The following is a 22,361-nucleotide window of genomic DNA, read 5'->3' on the forward strand; positions in this document are numbered from 1 at the left end:
CTAAATTGGAGAAGCTGAGGCAGCTTAGCCATTATCAACCAAGAGGTCATTAATATCATAATTTTTTAGGTAACTAAGAATAAGCATATTTAATTATTATTAATTATAAATAAGCACAATTACTTCTAGTAATACCAGTGCAAAGAAAAGTTTATTTTAACTAAATGGCAAACTGGTTCCAACTGATTCACCAAAAGGCAAGTTATGCTGTGACCCTTGTTACTCAAAATACGGCCTACTGTCAAACAGGAATGACAATACTTGAGTGCTTATTAAAATTACTCTCATGAGTTGAGAAACAATGTCTTGTTCCTCAAGAAGACAATAATACCCATTCTCACCACTGTCATTAAAATAGTACTGGAAGTTCTAGCCAGAGCAATTAGGCAAGAGAAAGAAATAAAAGGCTTGCAAATCATAAATACGGAAGCTAAATTGCCTTTGTTTGTAGGCATGATCTTATTTATTTAGGAAACCCTAAAGGCTCCATGAATGAATTGTCAGAGCTAATAAACAAACTCAGTTAAGTTGCAGGACACAAAATCAACACACAAAAATCAGTAGCATTTCTGTACACTTACAACTATCTGAAAAAGAAATCAAGAAAACAATCCCTGCACAGCAAAATAAACCATCATCAGAGTGAACAGGCAACCTACAGAATGGGAGAAAATTTTTGCAATGTACCCATCTGACAAAGGTCTAACATCCAGAATCTACAAGGAACTTAAACATATTTATAAGAAAAAAAAATTCCATCAAAAAGTGGGCAAAGGATACGAACAGACACTTCTCAAAAGAAGACATTTATGTGGCCAACAAACATATAAAAAAAAAGCTAAATATCACTGATCATCAGAGAAATGCAAATCAAAACCACACTCACACCAGTCAGAATGGCGATTATTAAAAAGTCAATAAACAATAGATGCTGGTAAGGCTGTGGAGAAATGGGAATACTTTTACACTGTTGGTGTAATGAGATATCTGGGGGGTGGGACCCAAGTCTAAACATAAAAGTTTTATACATCTTATACACATAGCCTGAAGATAATTTTATATAATATTTAAAATATTTTTCTATATGAAACAAAGGTTTGACTGCACTTTGACTGCTACCTGTCACATGAGGTGTGGAATTTTCCAGTTGTGGCATCATGCTGGCACTCAAACATTTCTAATTTTGTAGCATTTTGGATTTTAAGTCTTCAGATTAGGGACAATCAGCCTGTTTATATACACAATGGAATACTATTTGGCATTAAAGAGGTCCTGTCATTTACAACACGTGGATAAACCTGGAGGACATTATGCTAGGTGAAATAAGACAGGCACAGAAAGGCAAATACTTACTTTTATGTAGAATCTGAAAAACTTAAACTCATAAAAGCGAAGAGTAAAATAGTGGTTACTGGGGCTAATGGGTGGGAAGGACTGGGGAGATACTGGTCCAGGATATAAAATTTCAGGTAAAAGGAATAAATTCAAGAGATCTGTTATACAACCTAGTGACTACAGTTGATACGGTTAGGCTTTGTGTCCCTACCGAAATCTCATCTTGAATTTTAATCCCCATAATCCCCACATGTCAAGGGAGAGACCAGGTAGGAGTAATTGAATCACGGGGGTGGTTTCCCCCATGCTGTTCTTGTGATAGTGAGTGAGTTCTCATGAGATCTGATGGTTTTATAAGGGACTCTTCCCCACTTCACTCAGCATTTCTCCTTCCTGCCACCTTGTGAAGAATGTGCCTTGCTTCTCCTTTGCCTTCCACCATGGTTGTAAGTTTCCTGAGGCCTCCCCAGCCATGCTGAACTGCAAGTCAATTAAACCTCTTTCCTTTATAAATTACCCAGTCTTGGGTATTTCCTTATTGCAGCATGAGAACAGGCTAAAACAATAGTTAGTAACAATGCATTATATACTTGGAAATTTCTAAGGGAGATTTTAAGTGTTCTCAATGTAAAATCAGTATGTGATCATTATGTCAATTTTATGCATGTTTATCTTTATTTAGCCATTTCACAATGTATACATGTTTCAAAACATCACATTGTACACAATAAATACATACAATTTTTGTCCATTTAAAAATAAGGATAATAGGTATTAAAACAGTAATAGCAGTATTAATGGAAGTAAAAAATATATTATTTTTAAAATGTTGCCTCTCAGGCCCCATTCCAGACACACTGATTCAGAGTCTGCAATTTATTAGATCCCCAGGTGGTTTGTATGCACAGTGACTTGGTGAGAAACTCCTCTGGAATGCATGGTCCAAGCAGCATCATTACCTGGGAGCTTGTTAAAAACGTACATTCCTGGGTTCTACCTCCAACTCATGGACTCAGAATGTGTTTGGAGGAGGGAGGACCCAGGTATCTCTGTTTTAGCAAGTTCACAAGGTGAGTCTATGGACCCTAAGTTTTGAGAACAAGTAGTGTAGAAACCTGTTACTCAGTGGATCTTTATCAAGGTCTTTCCAATGATCTTGTGGCCCTCTACAGCCTGCCCTTTGACCATCTAATTGCTAATAAATCTGGAATGGATCAGGAGAAAAGGAAGAAACAAGTCAATCCATTGTGCTTCCCAATCAGATTTGTGGTAAAGATTTTGGAGGAGGCCACATAATTAGAGTCAGATATTTAGGATTATCGATGGATTACAGTACTCCATGAAACACATTTCCTCCATTACCATGGTTAATTATGAGTAGACCGTAAAAGCATTCCTCTAGAAAGGCTATTAAAAAACATAATGTAATGTCATGTGCAATAGAGAATGACACATATCATGACTTAAGAAAATAAAGACCATTTATTCCCTGTGAGTTTGAAGTATGGTGGGTATGCCCAAGTACAAAATTTTTTTAGAATGCTAGAGATGGCTTTAAAAATTGTTTATGTCTTCTCAGGCTTTGCAACTTTTCTCTAATTCTGTAGAAGTTGGCAGTGATAACAGACATGACTAGAAGTCAGAAAATTATTTTAGTCATTGACTACTCATTAATCTGTATCTTAGTCTTTAAATGTGGTTTTTGACACTCTGAAGAAAAAAGGAAAGTTTATGAGAAAGTATATGTAAAATTGCAAAACGATAGCTTGTTCTATATTTTGTTGGGATAATCTGAAAGATGGATTACATTTTGTTTCAGGAAACTGTACTCTATTTGAAAAGATGTCTACATGCCAAAAGAACATGCTGCTCACATAAATAACAATGGCGTAATTTTAATGTTCTCACAAAAGCTATAAATGTTCTACCTCAAGGTAAACATTTTAATTAGCCTGAAAGTTATTTTTCTTAACACTACCAGAAACTTTGCCTACCACTTCCTCCTGAGAGCTGCTAAAATGTTCCAAATACAAAAAAGTAAGGACAGAAGTAGCAGTTCATGTAAAGAATTACTGATGAAATACCAGGGAGAAACTATGGAGGCAAAAAAAAAAAAAAAAAAAAAATGTCCTTGGAAGTGCAAGCACTTCTGCAGAACAATTAACTTAATTAACCAGATACCATGAATATTCATAAGGCTGTTAATGTCTCCCACATCCAAACAGATAAATGTGATGTAATGACTTCCTAGTCAAGCATATCTAAAATTCTCATGAAAACGGCACCTACACTTTGGTTCTTTGCCTGAAATATCATAGAAATTAACAGTCCCTCGGCAATATTTTATTCTCCTCAAATTAATTGGAAAGCATGAATTTATTTATGCAAACTCTATAGGAATATATGGTTCACAGCCATCAGTATGTGGCTTGAGCCTTGTTTTACAACAACTGGATTGCTTTTTTATTTTTATGTCCTCTCAGGCTTTTTTCTCCATTCCCCCTCCCCCTTTTAATCAGAGTCTCTCAGTATAGTTCCTTAGCACCAGTTCCCATAGCAACAAACACCATTCCTAATGGCCAGCAGTTCAAATACAGGCTTCTCCACATCTGATCCATTTGAGTCTGACCATAATTCAGCAGCTTAGTCTGTTGGCTCAGTGGATTAATTTACTAAACACTCTCCCTCTGGGTGTCTCTCTCCAGGAGGCAAATGGCTTCAAAGGCACACTGTCTCCTCATGTTCAGCTTGAAAACTTCCTGCCTAGTTCTAGTTCCCATTCTCTATCAAAAGCCCTGACTAGGCATACAGTCATCATATTAAATATACCCCACACATGACTTTCCCCTCCTATTAGATGGAATTAGAATGCTAGAACTCCTATGCAATGACCAGAATTTTGGCAGCATACTGTGTCTTCTAAACAAGACAGGTTAAAATGGCATTACTACAAATATCCAAAGAATACATAAAATGCTCCCCAAATCAGAAATACTCTTCAAAATTATAATAGTGATAAAACTAAATGCTATTTCTTTATAAAATCTGAATTACATACTAAAACATAAGAATAACCACCAGTTTTTATAGCCAACCACCAAATTTATGTCAAAGGCATACCTGTAGGGACACCCATCTTTCTATTTCTGATGTATGGCAGTCAATGAATGACCTCAGGAATTTAAGTACTAATGAAGTGTCCTAAGCACATCCACTTTGCATGGAAGGAAATGTTGGAAAGTTTCCACCATTATAGTCAGAACTACTAAAGTAAAGCAAAAAGGTCAAGAAATAAAATGCCATGAAAAGATGGCCCAAAATGCATCATTTTTCTCTTTGAGTCAAAATCATCTTGGTGTCTTCTACTTAGAAACCATTTTAGGTTTTCCTATATACTCTAGAATTATCAGATTATATCTGAATATCTCTCTCCTTTTAAATTCTGACTTTCTGAAAGACTTTACACTCTAAAAGGGCATTTGAATATCTTATGCTCTGTCAACTTATCAACAATACTAAGTATTCTAAAATCCATACTAAATGAATAGGGTTATCAAAATATGAATTTTTTTCAACAATGTGCATTATTTTCTATAATCATAGGGAAAAATATTTTGCTTTTTTAGTGATAATGTGTGACTTTTTAAAAGTTGATTCTTGTAATGGCCCTATGGGGATGGACATTATTAAACTTTTTTTTTTTTTTTTTTTTGAGACAGCCTCGCTCTGTCGCCCAGGCTGGAGTACAGTGGCACAATCTCAGCTCACTGCAACCTCTGCCTCCCAGGTTCAAGTTATTCTTCTGCCCCAGCTTCCCCAGTAGCTGGGATCACAGGCGCACACCACCATGCCCAGCTCATTTTTGTATTTTTAGTAGAGATAGGGTTTCACCATGTTGGCCAGGCTGGTCTTCAACTCCTGACCTCAGGTGATCCACTACCTCGGCCTCCCAAAGTGCTGGGATTACAGGTATAAGCCACTGCACCCGGCCTTATTAAACCTTTTAAATGTGTAATCAAGACTAATAAAGGCTAATTACCCACCCAAAGTCAAGTACCAAACTGAAATTCAAGTCCAGTCTCTCTTACCCTTAATGTCTGCTCTGCCAGGCTATTGAGTACCTCAAGTAATGCTATTTTGCCTAATTTTCCTTTATATATATATATGTTCATAAGGCTGTATATTATATATATATATAATACTTTAAATTCTAGGGTACATGTGCACAATGTGCAGGTTTGTTACATATGTATACATGTGCCATGTTGGTGTGCTGCACCCATTAACTCGTCATTTACATTAGGTATTTCTCCTAATGTTATCCCTCCCCACCTTCCCCCACCCCACAACAGGCCCCAGTGTGTGATGTTCCCCTTCCTGTGTCCAAGTGTTCTCATTGTTCATTTCCCACCTATGAGTGAGAACATGCGGTGTTTCGTTTTTTGTCCTTGTGATGGTTTGCTGAGAATGATGGTTTCCAGCTTCATCCATGTCCCTACAAAGGATATGAACTCATCATTTTTTATGGCTGCATAGTATTCCATGGTGTATATATGCCACATTTTCTTAATCCAGTCTATCATTGTTGGACATTTAGGTTGGTTCCAAGTCTTTGCTATTGTGAGTAGTGCCACAATAAACATATGTGTGTATGTGCCTTTATAGCAGTATGATTTATATTCCTTTGGGTATATACCCAGTAATGGGATGGCTGGATCAAATGGTATTTCTAGTTCTAGATCCCTGAGGAATTGCCACACTGTCTTCCACAATGGTTGAACTAGTTTACAGTCCCACCAATAGTGTAAAAGTGTTCCTATTTCTCCACATCCTCTCCAGCACCTGTTGTTTCCTGACTTTTTAATGATCACCATTCTACCTGGGGTGAGATGATATCTCATTGTGGTTTTGATTTGCATTTCTCTGATGGCCAGTGATGATGAGCATTTTTTCATGTGTCTTTTGGCTGCATAAATGTCTTCTTTTGAGAAGTGTCTGTTCATATCCTTCGCCCACTTGTTGATGGGGTTGTTTTTTTCTTGTAAATTCTTTTGAGTTCTTTGTAGATTCAGGATATTAGCCCTTTGTTAGATGAGTAGATTGCAAAAATTTTCTCCCTTTCTGTAGGTTGCCTGTTCACTCTGATGGTAGTTTCTTTTGCTGTGCAGAAGCTCTTGAGTTTAATTAGATCCCATTTGTCAATTTTGGCTTTTGTTGCCATTGCTTTTGGTGTTTTAGACACGAAGTCCTTGCCCATGCCTATGTCCTGAATGGTATTGCCTAGGTTTTCTTCTAGGGTTTTTATGGTTTTAAGTCTAATGTTTAAGTCTTTAATCCATCTTGAATTAATTTTTGTGTAAGGTGTAAGGAAGGGATCCTGTTTCAGCTTTCTGCATATGGCTAGCCAGTTTTCCCAGCACCGTTCGTTAAATAGGGATGAGTGATTGTGTAATACAATCAGCTTTTGAATGATGTTTCCCTCTTTTCTGGATCACAGTGTTGCTCTAACGGTTCTCCGTGTCTCTGACCTCTACTTTCTCCTGCTCCCAACCTCTAATCATTCCACACGGTGAGGCAAAATGAATCCTCCTGGAACAAGCTCCAATCAGGTTGCCCCCTTGCTCTGAAACATCCCATTATTCCCTACTGCTTATCAAATACAATTCAGAGCCCTTACTGTGGCATGTAGGAGCCTCCATGGTTGGGCCTATTTTGATACCATTATCTTCCACTGAATGGCCTTTTCACTATTCCTCAAACACTCCTGGGTTTTGCCTTTGCTTTATTACTTTTGCAGCCAAGAAAATAACTCATTCTCACCTTTTCAGGCCAGCTCCAACCCATTTTAAGACCTAATCCAAGTGTCATTTACTATATAAAGTCTTCTTTACATGCATTCACTTAATAGGCTTCACTGAGCATCACTGTGGCATAGTCTATTCTAGATGCTGAAAAATGGCAGTGAGTAGAAAGATTAAAAAGCCTTGCCCTTAAGAATCTCACCCTTCCAAACCTTATCCTCCCTTCCAGTCACAAGTAATTTTGGCATTCTCAAGGTTATCTGGTTATACATCAATTATGCAAGTTACCATATTCACCTCATATGGAATTGTAAGCAGCTAGACTGGAGTGGCCCTGTTTTGAAACTTCTTACCTGGTACTGTGTAATCAACAGATTTTTTATGCGAAGGGAGAATAATAACCATTCCATATACTGATGGTTTAACTATATATTAAACCCTTTACTAAACCAAACGTTAGTACTACAATAACCTTGTAATAAAGTGAATAATATATCTGTGATCCCTATTCTATAGATTAGAAAAATAAGGCTCAAAGAGATTAAATGACTTGTCAAAAGTCTCACATTTGCTAGTGGGGATGCCAGAAGTCTGGATCTTTCAAAGTCTGTTCATTAATTCTGTGTTGTGCTGTCTAGATTAGCAAGTAAGAAAGGAAAAGAGGGAGAAGGGTCAGTTTAATGAATCTGTAGCCACTCCCTTGCCTGCTGGTATTAAGCCAAGTGGAAGCTGTGCTCTGACAGGAGTCAGGATTCGGTCTGTTTCCATCCCAGCATTCTTCTGAGCTCTCAGAAGCAAAGCATGGGCTACTTCGCTAGCAGATCCATCTCCACCAACACAGACAACACTAGAAAAATACAAATCAAGCAAAGAAGGCAAAACTTCAGAATGATTGGTAATAAGTCATGAAATCTAGACTTCAAAATAGTTTACTAATTTGTAGTCTATGTGCATAACTGCTCACATGTACCTTTAAACATGTTAATATGTGTCAATGGGTAAGACAACACAAACACAACACAGGTAAGTTTACTTCACAAATATAATAACTAGATAATTCCCCATAGACAAAATAGCTTTAAGTGTGTTAAGAGATATGAAAACTTTTGAACATGTTAATTCACATCTGACCAGCGTTTTGCTCTGTTAACATCCAAAAGCATATCATTCTCATTTCTTGTTAATAATACTGTCATCTGCAATTCATTTAACTAACACCAACCAAAGTCATAAAATCCTGCTAATTCTCAATAAAGCTCTGAAAAGACAGATAGCAATAAAAATCATATAAAATATGAAGCTTTAAGAAACTGCTAATTATCATTACTATATGAATGTAGTAATTACAAACCTGACCTGAATTTCATCTCCTTGACATTATTGCTATACGGTGCTTCTAGATGTAATACTATTAGCCTTTGATCCTAGATAGTACTACTAGTATATTTTTTAAGACTTTATATCAAGTAGACTATGGGGGCAGAATCCATTAAAATAACACAGAAGTACCAGAAATTCATTTCATAATCATTTATGTTCAAAAGAAGCAAAATATTCTTACGTATCAAAATGTCACCAGTTAACCCAATGGAAAGTGGATTTTGCCTCAGTGAAAGCAGGTGTCACAACTCAAGGGCTACAAGGGCCCAGCAGGAATGGAAGAGTAGGCTCAATCTAAAGGCGCAGCCACTTCTTTGCTGTGGCCCACTCACATCACGTGTGAGGCCTAATGGACCCAGATCTGGTTTTTCTACAGAAGCCAGAGATTCTGATTTAAGGCTGAGTCTCCTAATTTGTAAATACTAAGCAACTAGCATTCAATATATTTAAAAACACTATTTCAAACAAAACTGTCTATGGGCCACAGTCAGCAGTAGTTACTGGTTCTCTAAGTTTAGGAAGCTCTGGAGGGTGGTGACCAAAGGCTGAAAGTGTCTTTCCAGTCAGTTCCCACCATCTTTCTCTCGGCCATCTATTCCCTCTAGTCCCCATCTTCCTCATCCCACTAGCTCCACATAGCCTGGGCAATCCAAGGCTACTCTGGTTAGAAGACTCAAGATATGACCCAGGTCATGTTTGATTAGGTGTGTTTTATTCTTATGTCTAAACTGATTCCAGAGGTTCGCAATATGACCACCTATTCAGAGAAAAGGAATGATGTTTACTAAGGACAAACTATATATCAGGTAATGTGTTTACTAATTTCTATTAAATCCTCAGAAGTCTGCAAAATAGGCCACAGTCCCATCTTTATGAATGAAAAAAACCAAGGTTTGACTTGAAACTTACCTGATTTCAAAAATCTCTATGAGATTTCTAATCTGTGAACTTAAACGTAACCCTCAATCCATGGCTGTCTAAATGCTGACATATGGGTGTGACCAAAAAGACTATGTGGAGTCATACCCAAAAAAATCTAATTTAGCACCAAATAACTTGACCCTTACATACATAGGATGCGAACACTTAACTCCTAGAATGTTGCATACAATTATAGCGTCATGCATATGTTAACATATTGCTAGAGTTATTAGAGGTGGCCTCCCTATGAGCATGTTCTGAAACATCTGAAATTTTGTCATAATACATTCTGTGTTAAATCTTTTGAAACTAATACAAATGACAATTATAACAATAAAGAAATATTTAGTGAATAATTACTATATATATATATCAGACATTTTCCTAAGCACTCTCCATGTATTAACTCATTTAAGTGGAGAAATAACTGTATGCAATAGGTAATATTACCTTCAATTTGCAGATTAGGAAACTAAAACATAGAAAGATAAAGTAACTTTTTCAAGATTGTACCACTAGTAAGTAATAGAACAGGGATTTGAAATAAGACATTTTGGTCTTAGAAGCTACAATATTATTCAATATATTAGATACCTTTTCTATATATGAAACCTAATAAAAATAGCCTTATGAGAATCTTATTATTTTGAAAAACAGTTTACCAGTAGAACCAGTGTGAAATTAAGTGAGTTAGAAAAAATATGTATTTATTTATGTTAACAACTATTCAATCATTAAGATCATGTTCAGGTAAAGTGACTCAACCTAGGAAATAAGTTTTGTAAAACAAAAATAAAATTCTAAGTCGCCAACTAACTGAATGGATCCTCCCCTTTTGGCCATGAAGGTCACAAAGAAAATCTGAAAAACTATTCAGGTCATAACAGGAAGGGAGGTTGGATATGCCTCCTTATACCCTCTTGTCTTTTGGAGTTTAGGCGCAAATGGCCAGCACTGGCATTAAGATGTAAATCATTGGCCAGGCTCATGCATGCAATTCCAGCACTTTGGGAGGCCAAGGGTGGATCACGAGGTCAGGAGTTCAAGATCATCCTGGCCAACATGGTGAAACCCCATCTCTATTAAAGAAACAAAAAATTAGCTGAGCATGGTGGTGCATGCCTGTAATCCCAGCTACTCAGGAGGCTGGGGCAGGAGAATTGCTTGAACCTGGGAGACAGAGGTTGCACTGAGCTGAGATTGCACCACTGCACTCCAGCCTGGGTGACAGGGTGAGAATTTATCTCAAAAAAAAAAAAAAAATAGATCATAAGACTGACAAAACAGACTTGGTAGCAATAAGATCCCCAACTCCAACCTGACTCTGGTATAGCATTAAATAACAAATAGCAGGCCCTAGAGGAAATCAAAGTATTTTATCCCAAAATGTATTTTGTTGACATATTTTGAAATGGCCCTGCAAAGCTATCATTTGCAGGAGAAATTTGCATTCTATAGAGAATCTCCTTCCCTTTCCAGGTCTTTTCCTGATCCAGGAGAGATTTAACTAAGAGTTTGATACCTTTTAAGGTCTGATAAGAGATATTGACCATCTATTCTCTCTGAAGCCTGATATCTGGAGGCTTCATCTACATAACAAGAACCTGTGCTTCCACAACTTCATTTATCTTTATTTTTATAATTTTTTATTTTATTTTATTTTATTTTTGAGACAGAGTCTCGCTCTGTTGCCCAGGCTGGAGAACAATGGTGTGATCTCAGCTCACTGCAACCTCTCCCTCCTGGGTTCAAGTGATTCTCCTGCTTCAGCCTCCCAAGTAGCTGAGACTACAGGCACACACCATCACACCCGGCTAATTTTTGCATTTTTACTAGAGATGGGGTTTTGCCATGTTGGCCAGGCTGATCTCAAACTCCTGACCTCAGGTGATCTCCCCTCTTCAGCCTTCTAAAGAGCTGGGATTACAGGTGTGAGCCACTGCTAAGCCACTGCACCCAGCCTACACCACCCCATTTATCTTAACTCAAGCATTTCTTTCTGCTGACTTCTAATCTTTCAGCAAAGCTTATCAACCAACTGACAATCAGAAAATCATTGAATTCATCTGTGAGCTCCCCTTCCCACCAGCTCCATGATATCCCGCCTCTCTGGGCCAAACCAATGAATACCCTACATTTATCGATTTATGTCTTTGGCTATAACTTCTGTATCCCCAAAATGTATAAAACCAAGTTGTAACCCAACTACTGTGGGCACATGTTCTCAGGACCCCCCTGGGGTTATCATAGGCCATGAGCACTCATATTTGGCTCAAAATAAACCTCTTTAAATATTTTACAGTTTGGTTTTTTTCATCAACAGCTTCTTACAAAAATATCACAAGAGTCTAAATATACAAGAAAGGCAAAAAGCAAAGTATTCAATCATTTATAGTGAGTTAATCACACTTGTGTCACTCTAAAACATAAACCTTAGAGTAACTAATCCTTTGCATGTGACAAATCTTGTTTTTAAAATAAGTAAACTCCTTGCCATGGCTCCAAACAGAATTATTCTGTCTAGAAAAGAAACACTGGGTGATAATATATCCTTTTTCAAAGAGTGATAAAGATTTTTTTAATGAATGTTTTTATACTTATCTATGAACCCATCATCTATGAAATGTTCAATATATTGTTGTAGTTTTGATTCACAGTTTTTTTTCTTTCTGGAAAAGTTTGTTTTTGTTTTTGCTTTTTACCTTACTAAGTAATACAGATATGTTCAATCTGATAAAATGTCAATATAATCCAAATAATGTCTACAACATTATGGGTCTAATTAATGGTGAAATGAACAAAAGAAAAGTAACTCAACAATTTTTTTAAAAATTCTGAAACAAATATTAATAGCGAGGAATTCATATATTTACAATTGCATAAAATCTATAGATTTTTAAAACTATACTCACACTTATAAATGCAAGTGTTACTGCTTCAAGTCTATGCAGCTGATATTCTTTTATTTTCCTTCCTAAAACTTCCTACTCATGCCCAGTAAAATAGGGAGCAATATAGAATCTGAAGCTCTCATAAGGTTTAACAGTGGATCTTAGAGTGTTTCCTAGGACACACTGCAGTGGAGAACTAGCTGTCATAAGTGCTGATACACTGTTTCTGTTGGGTTTAGAAATGTCACAAGATGTCTCATAGAAACATATGTAATTCATTAAAAAAAATAAATACAACTCCAAAATCTTAGGAAATAGCATTTCTTAAACATTACTTACCAAATTGTTTTGCTTTACTAAATACTATACATAGAATCTTTCTTGGCTCTTAACTTCTTCAGCCTGTATCTAGAAACCAAACTGTTAGGTGATTTCCTAATCACTCCCTATTAATAGTTCCACTAGTGTCAGACGGAGGTGCTTCAGGCCAAAGTTCTTAAAGAAATTTGAGTCTGTCTCTCATCAAAATGCCATAGCATTTTGGGGTTAACCTTCTCTCATCTCTGCACCTTTTCTATAAATTTCCCCCAAAATTTTCCTTTAGCCACTCTTTAGAACAGGTTCAGGAATAGAAAACTCACCAATGTAGAATATTCCATTTTCAAACAATTTTACTTGCAAGAGAATTGTTCCTTTGAAGTACCTGAAGAAACTATGTTTCTATTATTCTCCTCATATATCTCTCTATGTAATTCTAAGTACAGTGACTTAAAATTGCCAGTTTATTAAGATAATTACTCCAACTACCATATCAGCTTCTACTGGGAAAACTGACCCCACAAAAATAAATAAGCTATTTAAAGTGGTCCCCAACCTTTTTGGTACCAAGGACTTTTTTGTGGGAAGATAATTTTTCCATGGACTGCAGGGTGGGGTGGGAGACGGATGGTTTCAGGATGAAACTGTTCCACCTCAGATCATCAAGCATTAGATTCTCATCAAGAGCACGCAACCTAGATCCCTCGCATGACCAGTTATATCCCTCGCGTGCCCAGTTCACAATAGGGTTCGCACTCCTGTGAGAATCTAATGCTGCTGCTGACCTGACAGGAGGTGGAGCTCAGGCGGAAATGATCCCTCTCCTGCCACTCACCTCCTACTGTGCCTCCCAGTTCCTAAAAGGCCACTGACTGATATTCATCTGCAGTCTCGGAGTTGGGGACCCCTGATTTAAAGAGTCTTAGAACACGGAAGATGACTTTCAGTAGAAATTTGAAATTATTGTAAGTCTGAAATAAATCAGCATGCCATAGAGTTTAGAAACACTTACATAACTCAATTCATATAATGGTTAGGCCAAACTATTTGGTTTATAAAATATAATAACTGAAAAATCTATACATCTTTTAGCTCTACACTGAAAAATAACAACACCTGCCATGAAAAATAAATAAGGATTAAATATGTTCAGGTAAAGAGAAAAATATTATTGTACTACACTTCAGCAATCGTCTTTCTTCATTCTGCAAAGTTCTTTTCATCCCTTTACCCAGTACAAATACCAGTAAAACATATTGATAGATACTGCATTCAGCAGAACATTCTGTAATGCTGCTGTGTAAGAACAAGTTTAATATCTGTGATATCTTTATTCTCATTCTTTAATCAAGTTTTGAAGCAGGTACTCATTTGCAATGCAGCTACCTTCATGTACTCATGAGGTCTAGTGAGGGACTATGCAGCATATTCAAATAGGTAGTTGGTATGCATGATTCCCACAAGGACTTTTCTTAAATTGTATACTTGTAAGACAATTTTCTAAATGAAGCCTATTAATGTTTTTGTCTACCTCTAAGTATAAAGTTCTGAAGTAATCTCCTACCCCATATTTTTGATTCCCAATGTTTATATAATATTGCTATCTAGATTTACTTCCCTCAATTAGATTCCTTTTGGAAAAATCATGTTTTACTTACCACATTTTCTTTCTCAACAGCTATTGTTTTCTCCTCATCCAAAAAATAAATAAATAAATAAGCATTTCTGAAAAACAGCCCTGCCAATACTCCATTTTGATTGCATCACTTCCCTCCCCAGCACATTCAAATCAGTCTTTGGGAAGGTTAATGCCTTTCACTTTGGTGAAAGTACAGACCTAACTCCCTTTCCTGACCTTATGGGTCTTTGCCCCCTGCCCATCACCATGTAACACAAATAATTCACACACTTGTCAACTTTTTAAATTCTCAAATATCTACTCACGTAAAAAGAACTTCCCTAAAGGAATATAATATGTTTTAGTCTTACACATCAGTCCAACACTTTAGCAAATTGGTTCACCTAATTTTAAAAAATGGCAATGAAATTTATATCACTTGCCTTGGTTCTAACGTTTGCATGCCAGTGAACAATCTCTGTACACTCCAATGTATTGCGAACAATGGTTTCCGATGCCCACTGTGAATAACATACCTAAATTGTAGTCACTACATTATGAGATAATTAAAATTATTTCTTATTGTTTCTGGAAATAATGTATTTATTTACTTGTATTTATAAAATATCTTCCCTCAATCTATCACAGACAAGTTAACCAATGGGTAGCTATTAAACCTATCAATTAATTTGCAAAAGAAGATCATCATATAGTTATGCCATGTGACCAGTATAACATCTTCCATTAGTGCTTCTCTAGATATATGGTAAAAGCAAATAATTATAGATGCAAATGTATGCACATTAGTAAGTATAGAGTAGTACACTGTCATTTCCCAGTATTTTAATAATTAGATTCCTCTTTTTGCTTTCCTATGCCAGATCCTGAGAGATAGATGACCATGTCATATTATCATTAATTATTATTACATAGATATGAACAAGATAGAGCCAAAGTACATACACTACAAATATTTTTAAATGTTAGGTTCCAAATATGTAGCTAAAACTAGTGAAGGCATTTAATACATAAATGATATAACATATATTGATTAATAATATAACCTACCCATCAAATCCCTGGAGTTCACATTCCTTAAGCAGTGACAGAGCGTGCCCTTCATATTCCATTACTATTAAAAAAACACACACACATACACAAAGTGACAGTTTTAAACAATGATCACACTTTTTAACTTGTTCTGGCAAAATAATATGATAAACATATGGTCAAGTCATAAAACAGCATTTATTCTTGAATATTTATATTTTAATCATGGGCAAGAGGACTAAGTGTTACTGGCCTGATGTTTTATAGCTTTATGTAAGAGAAGGTCATATATTTGTTTCAACTACATAAAGTCATTTGGGAATATCCCACGCATAGTGGTTACCCAATTTGTCCTGGTGCCTGTTTAGTATTCCCTAAATAAGACACATGTCCTTTAAATCAGAGGCTTAGGAGGAGCAGTATTTTGGAAATAAGGCATATTAGCTGGCATTGAACAGTCAATCTTAAATCGGTTTGGCAACCTTACATGAATAAATTAGTCAAAAGGTTAGTGTAAGATTTACAAACCAGAAGAATGTGTACTGGAACTGTTAGACTAAAAAGAGGAAGAGTTGGATGTGAAAATACAAAGTAAAGCCAACACCAATTATAAGAGACCCAGACCCAAGAAGGAGGGTGGCACACAGGCCCACCAGAGCTCAGACCCTCCGAGGAAATGAATCTGTCACTCTGTATCGCTGTCTCCACAGTCACTGATGCCCTATGCAGTATCGTAAATGCCAGTGAAGACAGGATAAACGGGCACACTGCAGATGGCACCAAGCATCACAACCACATTTAGCATTTTCCAGGGCAGCTCTGCCAGAAGAGACAGCCCAGCTGTATCCACCCATCAAAGATTTCTGCTGACTGACATGACATTGCAGATGGATTTTTTGTGTAAGAATGTGTGTCATTATATGCAAGATTACATTAATCTTTCATGCTTGTCTGTCCCTGGTGCCAGCATGGTTCAAGCTTTTCCTACAATGTTTTTCGATATTGTTAAAAATTATTAGTCTTGGTGTCTAAAAGAATCATTCTGTATCCAGCAGTGTTACATTGTAATTCTCCCATAGCTTATTCAAAATGCCATTAACACTCACATGAATAAAACCTCTCTATATTAAATTCCAATCAGAAGAAAGCCATAATAAAACTACATATGAAACATTAATATTAATAAAGTTGAAAGGTTATCAAAGAAGATGTGTGCTGATCATTCATTTATAACTACAGCAAGTACTTACAACCTTAAAATGCAAAATAAAACATCTTACATATACACATTAAAAATAAGAATATCATGAAAAAATATTTATGCTAAGAATCAGTTCACCAAGCCTTACTTTTATACCAAAGCTTACATTGGTAAAGTTTTTCAGATCCAATAATGAGCTTTAGAACTGTGTTATTATTGAATGCTATTTTTATTTTTTTAATTTGTAATAGTCTTTTTTTGATATTGTGGGTGGAATTTGATTATACACTAATGCAACCTGCCTGAAAATAGCAATTTTTTAAGTAACATTGCAAAAGTCCAATAAAATCAAAGATCTAGAACAAAGAAACAAAATGAAAAGAACCTGACTATCTACATCTATAAAATATATTAGCAAAATGAACAAAATGAATTAGTCTTTGGCCTCAGGAATTTGCATTCTGGAGATAGACAATATATGCTAATGAAATAATGAATTATAATATGAAGTAATAGGTGGTTATACAAAACAATGTTAGGCAAAAGGATAAAGAGTGATCTGGATTACTATTTAAATATAGTAGAAAGGACCAAATATGTATTTAGACAGGCTATTGTGGGCCCTGGAATCAGTGACAGCCAGATTCAAATCATCCCCCTACAAACAAACAAAGAAAGGATTGCTAGATAAATGTAATTTCAAAAAATGTAACCCAGCCTCTTCTTTCATCTATTTGCCTTTTCCTATGAGATTGCCAACCTGTGCTCTTTCTAAATAGGAGATGTGAAGCCTTCACAGTTTACAGGTCTTTGAACACAATTCTCACTGCTGGGAATTTCCCCCTCCCCTCTTTGGTGCAAATGCAACTTCCTCAGGAAGACAAGAAAGTCTTAAGGTTGATATTCAATGTTGATGAGAAAATCACCTGAAATAAAATCAGGTGAGATTTGATTTGGACATAAGGAAACATTTCTTGGTTTGGTGATAAAATTCTAGTGTGGGATATGATACTGAAATGTCATTTTCTTTCCTGTCCTGTAGGTACTTTAAAGTTAGTAAGCTCAAAACAGAATCCATTATGTATACCTTCAAATATATTCTCTCTCAAATATATTGTTCTTTTTGTGTTCCATCATCTACCCCAAGACAGGAAAATGACTTCTTTCTAGAGTGTCCCTTTCCTCCACTCTCCAGAACCACTCCATGGCCAAGGCCAGTTGTTTCTGTCTTTAAATTATGCCATAGCATTCCTCCATTTCTCCCAGCTAATTCCCTAAATTAGCTGATTGATCTGATCACTAAATATCTTTCATGTGTAGACAAGTTAAGTATCTGTAACCAGAATATCTAAAATCCAAAACGCTTCAACATCTAAAAATTTTGGAGCAATGACATGGCGTTCAAAGTAAATGCTCATTGGAGTATTTTCTTTTTTTTTTTTTTTAATTTTTTTTTATTATACTTTTAAGTTTTAGGGTACATGTGCACATTGTGCAGGTTAGTTACATATGTATACATGTGCCATGCTGGTGCGCTGCACCCACTAACTCGTCATCTAGCATTAGGTATATCTCCCGATGCTATCCCTCCCCCCTCCCACCACCCCACAACTGTCCCCAGAGTGTGATATTCCCCTTCCTGTGTCCATGATTTTCAAATTAGAGAGATGCTGAAGTGGTTAAGTATAATGCAAATATTCCAAAAGCTAAAAACATCCTAAATCTGTAACAGTTCTGGTCCCAAGCCTTTCAGATAAGGGATACTCCACCTGTACTACAATAGCCTTTTATCTTGTCTCCCTCAAACCTCTCCCCCACTCTAGCCAGAATAACCATTTTCAGATACATATTTAATCATATCACTTTTTTGTATATACCCCATTAGTGAGTCTTCATCGTCCCCAGGTATAAAGTTCCAACTTCCTAACTCACATCTGAATGCTGGGAACAGGACTGGCCATATACACCCACAATTATTTAAGAGGTAACAAAAAGAATCTTTTACACAGAATTATCTTTCTCTCTAGCTAGATATGATGCATGAACATTTACTTTTCAGATTTTGTATTAAAATGCAGGTAAAATTGGAAGGAGTGATGCCTCAGGCTACTGGAATCTTTTGTGACACAGTTTCATTAGATGGCCTAGCTTTCTGCTGGGTGAGATTTAGAAAGGCAAGAGGCATTTCCAAGAAATGGAAGGCTTCAAGTAGAGCCATAAACAACCAGAGAAACACTATGAAGAGGCTTGTTAACAGCCATGTTAGAAGCGTGATTTTAGGAGAAAGAAGGGGAAAATGATAACAAACACCACTTTCTTGACAACTCTGCCCAGGAGGTAAAATTATCTGGTGACTAGGCACTCCCAAGAGCCCTGAGCTGGCAGAGATCAAGGTTTCCTTCAGATAAATGTCTTTGAGTATGATAATGATAATGACCATGATAAGGTCTAGCAGCTCTGTTAATGCAAAAAGTAACTGAAGGCGATGGAAGTACCTATCGTGAACAAGAGATGAGGGGCAGACAGGATATCTCTCTTCAAATATCTCAATGACTCCTATACAATAGATGGGGCACATTTATTTCATATTACTACAAGAGATAACATTAACTCTAGTACATAAAAATTACAAAGAGGCGAATGTCAGCTGACAAGTTCTCATTTTGTACAGTTTATGCCTAGCACAAAGGTACTTGGCTAACGGGAATGACGGATTTGCAATCTAACAAATGACTTTAGGCTGAATCTAGTGACCTTGGGCTGAATATTTTTGAAATATGAATATTTTGAAAGTATGAAATATTTTTTTCATAAATATTGAGCCAATATGCATACTGAAATGGTTTTATAAGCAAAGGATGAATTAGTCTGGAAGAAAGGGCACCTTTTTGTAAGTCAGCACAGAGGAGGTGCCTTTTCTAATCTGCCCAAAGGTACAGTAACTCTGAACATTCATAAGAATGTCAAACAGTATTGTCCAGTAACAACGTACTCTGCCTCTAGTGTAGGTGGCCAAGCCAAAGTTGAGTGCCACACACCTGTGCTCCACCCACAAGGAGAAAAATTGAACCATATGGCCTCGAAAGTTCTTTTCAGTCTGATTTCTCTGCTGCCTTAACTTTTTCACTCTATTGTACTATGAATTATCCTATGGATCTCTGATCCTCAAAATATCTGTCACACCTTTAATGGTACAATCTCTAAAACTTGCTTTGTTTCAGAAGCAAGAGAAATGATATCATATGCCAGCATGGGCTTATCGTTCATACTCTTCTTTGATTTGTGTACGAATAGGTAATTAGGAAAAAATAATTCTTTCCAGGTTCTCCCGGAAGTTTTTCTGATGCTATTAGATAAGATACTACCTTGGTGGTGGTAGCAGAGTGGGGATGCAACTTTAGCACAAATATTTCAAAAGATGCTGATCTATATTCAGAAGTAGTTAGGATTTCAGCACAACCCAAAATGAAAGAAGTGTGTTTTTATTAATGTGGTAAGATCCATTTTTAAAATAAATTTATGAAAAAATTACAGTACCTTATAGTGTATATATCTAGCTGTAATTCTTCATATTATACTTCATATTTATATAGCACTATTTCCTAATTAACTCATCATATAGGGTTTATTTTGTAATTCCAATTCCATTTGGACTCACCCATTCACACAAGGATACATTAAAACAATGTCCCACTGGACATGCAGAAGATATGTCCTCTTTCTGCTTTACTCTTCCATATACTTTCAAATAAAGTACGAATTCGATCTTACTATGACATAATTTTTGAAACTGAAACTAACAGTATTATGACCACCTTTCTGTAGTATAATATACAAAGTTTCAAATATATTATTTCAACTACAAAAATAACACTGTAAGATAGGCAGGAAGACTAAAACTTTTCAAATATTCACAGGTTTATTCAAGAAATATTTTTCATAAATATTGAGCCAATATGCATACTAAAATGGTTTTATAAGCAAATGATGTAATTTTATAAATTTGCCTGTAGGAGGAGTGTTAGGCAGCTAATAATTAGCCATTCTGCACAAATGTAAGTAAATTCTAAATTTGCTTTACGGAATATTCTATTGTTTTATGTTTAAATATGGTACTTAGTAATATTTACAAATTTAGAGAAAAAAATCCTAGAACATAATAGTTTTGTCTCCAATACAATTAAGAAGGAAAGCACATTTAGATGATTTCCTCTGCCTTAGTTCAGGCCTTGTATATCAGTTTTCTTGTCTCCAATCTCTTTTTCTCTCTTCCTTTTTAATTTTAATTCTGCTGGTGGAGTCATCTTTGCCAAACCAGATTGCAACAGTATGATAAAAAAAAATTTACACCAACTGTGGATCAATACACGATGAGTAAACTGCTGAGTGCAGCTTAAGGATCCATCCATAACCTGGAATTATACCTCCTGTAGTATACATTGTTGAGAGCCTTCCTAGAAGTCATTTTGCCCTTTCTTCTCCCTAACAGAATCCAGATTCAGCTGAGGCATTTCAGTCATCAGGAAAAGGGGATCTGTCCTCAGCCCCTGGGAAGAGTCTTGATGGTTAAATAAATGATTATTCCAGATTGACTGCGCTAATACAGTATCTGTGCCCAAACTTAAAAAAGGAAATTTTAATTCATCTTCAGGATTAAAGCATGTTGGGTCTCTCTTGCACACATATGCACACCTCTCCCCATCCCACTGGATATTAATAAGAAAGGATGAAATTCACTGGCAGCTATTTTATGATGATAGAGTAAGATTTCAGATAATGTAAAAACTGAGGAAAGTAGAGCAAAGTTATGGCACAAACTCTCCAGATGTATGGGTGTAACACACATGGACTCTCTCACATACACACACTCTCTCTCTCCGCCCCCCCTCCCAACTTTTACAGTACATGCCTGTTAGCCTGACTTCCTTCCCTCATTTTTTGTCTGCCTCTTAAAAACTGCCTAGTTCAAATGCTTTTCTTGAATCTTCCGATCAAAATATCACCTCTGAGACATCAAAGTTCTTTTATGTATACCCCAGTTATAATGGTTTTAAGCATTTTTTTGAATCTCTAATAATGTAGAAAGTCATCCAAGTATGATAGCTTATTCATCTCGCATCCTGCACTATGTTGAACACAGAGCAAGCATACAATGAGATTCCTGAAGTGAATGCTATATAGCAATATCCATGTTAAGCTGCTTTGTAGTATTCACATGTAAAAGCAATGAACAAAATAGTCATTGAGTATGCCAATATGTTTATTCAACTTTTAATTGTCTCACCCTAATACAAATCTCAAACTTTTCCTTCAGCCAATCTTTGGAAATCTTCAGTAGAAAGAAAACATAAATCTGAATTTTCTCTTTTACTTGTAAATCACCTCTAAATAAGCCGAAGGTCACAAACATAAAGGTTAACTTCTTCACTATAACTTTATTTTAATTCAAAAATTCCTCTTGAGTTTTTCATGGTAGTTTCTCTCGAACCTCTATAGTTATAGGCACATTTCATGGGGGCTGACCTTCCTACAAAACTTGCTTTTTTTTTTTTTTTGAACTTTCTTCTACCTCAATCCATCAGATCACTAGGTGTAGGTTTCAATGATATTATTAACATCTTGAAACTTATCTCCTTTGTTTACAGCTGAGTAAAGCCACATCACTGTGAATCCCTTCCCTAGGAATCTATAACTGGGACTAGGAAGTTCCAATTGCACTCTGGGCTTGTCCCCTGAGTAGGCTTATTTTATAATACTTTTCATCAATTAAAATTTATTGCAAATTTCCACTGTTAGCGAAGCCACATAGAAATAAAGCTAGGAAGGTTGCGATTCTCCATAGCATC

The 22,361-nt window shown here is 36.2% G+C and overlaps 1 protein-coding gene across 7 annotated transcripts in view; it reads right to left on the reverse strand.

Moving 5' to 3' along the window:
- Positions 1-22,361, reverse strand: part of CERKL (CERK like autophagy regulator) — a 120,434-nt gene that overhangs the window by 14,054 nt on the left and 84,019 nt on the right. For 2 of the 7 annotated variants that reach the window (NM_001160277.2, NM_001030311.3), the window contains 3 exons: positions 15,333-15,396; positions 14,708-14,785; positions 7,841-7,983 (listed from right to left, as the gene is read on the reverse strand). The exons of 2 other annotated variants lie outside the window; for them this stretch is intronic. In NM_001160277.2, the coding sequence (NP_001153749.1) occupies positions 7,841-7,983; positions 14,708-14,785; positions 15,333-15,396 (285 nt within the window). The remainder of the gene's footprint in view (positions 1-7,840; positions 7,984-14,707; positions 14,786-15,332; positions 15,397-22,361) is intronic. 3 more of the 7 variants (NR_027689.2, NR_027690.2, NM_201548.5) reach the window with 2 other exon arrangements.

The sequence above is a fragment of the Homo sapiens genome, chromosome 2 (genome assembly GCF_000001405.40).
Source record: "Homo sapiens chromosome 2, GRCh38.p14 Primary Assembly".
Classification (NCBI taxonomy): domain Eukaryota; kingdom Metazoa; phylum Chordata; class Mammalia; order Primates; family Hominidae; genus Homo; species Homo sapiens.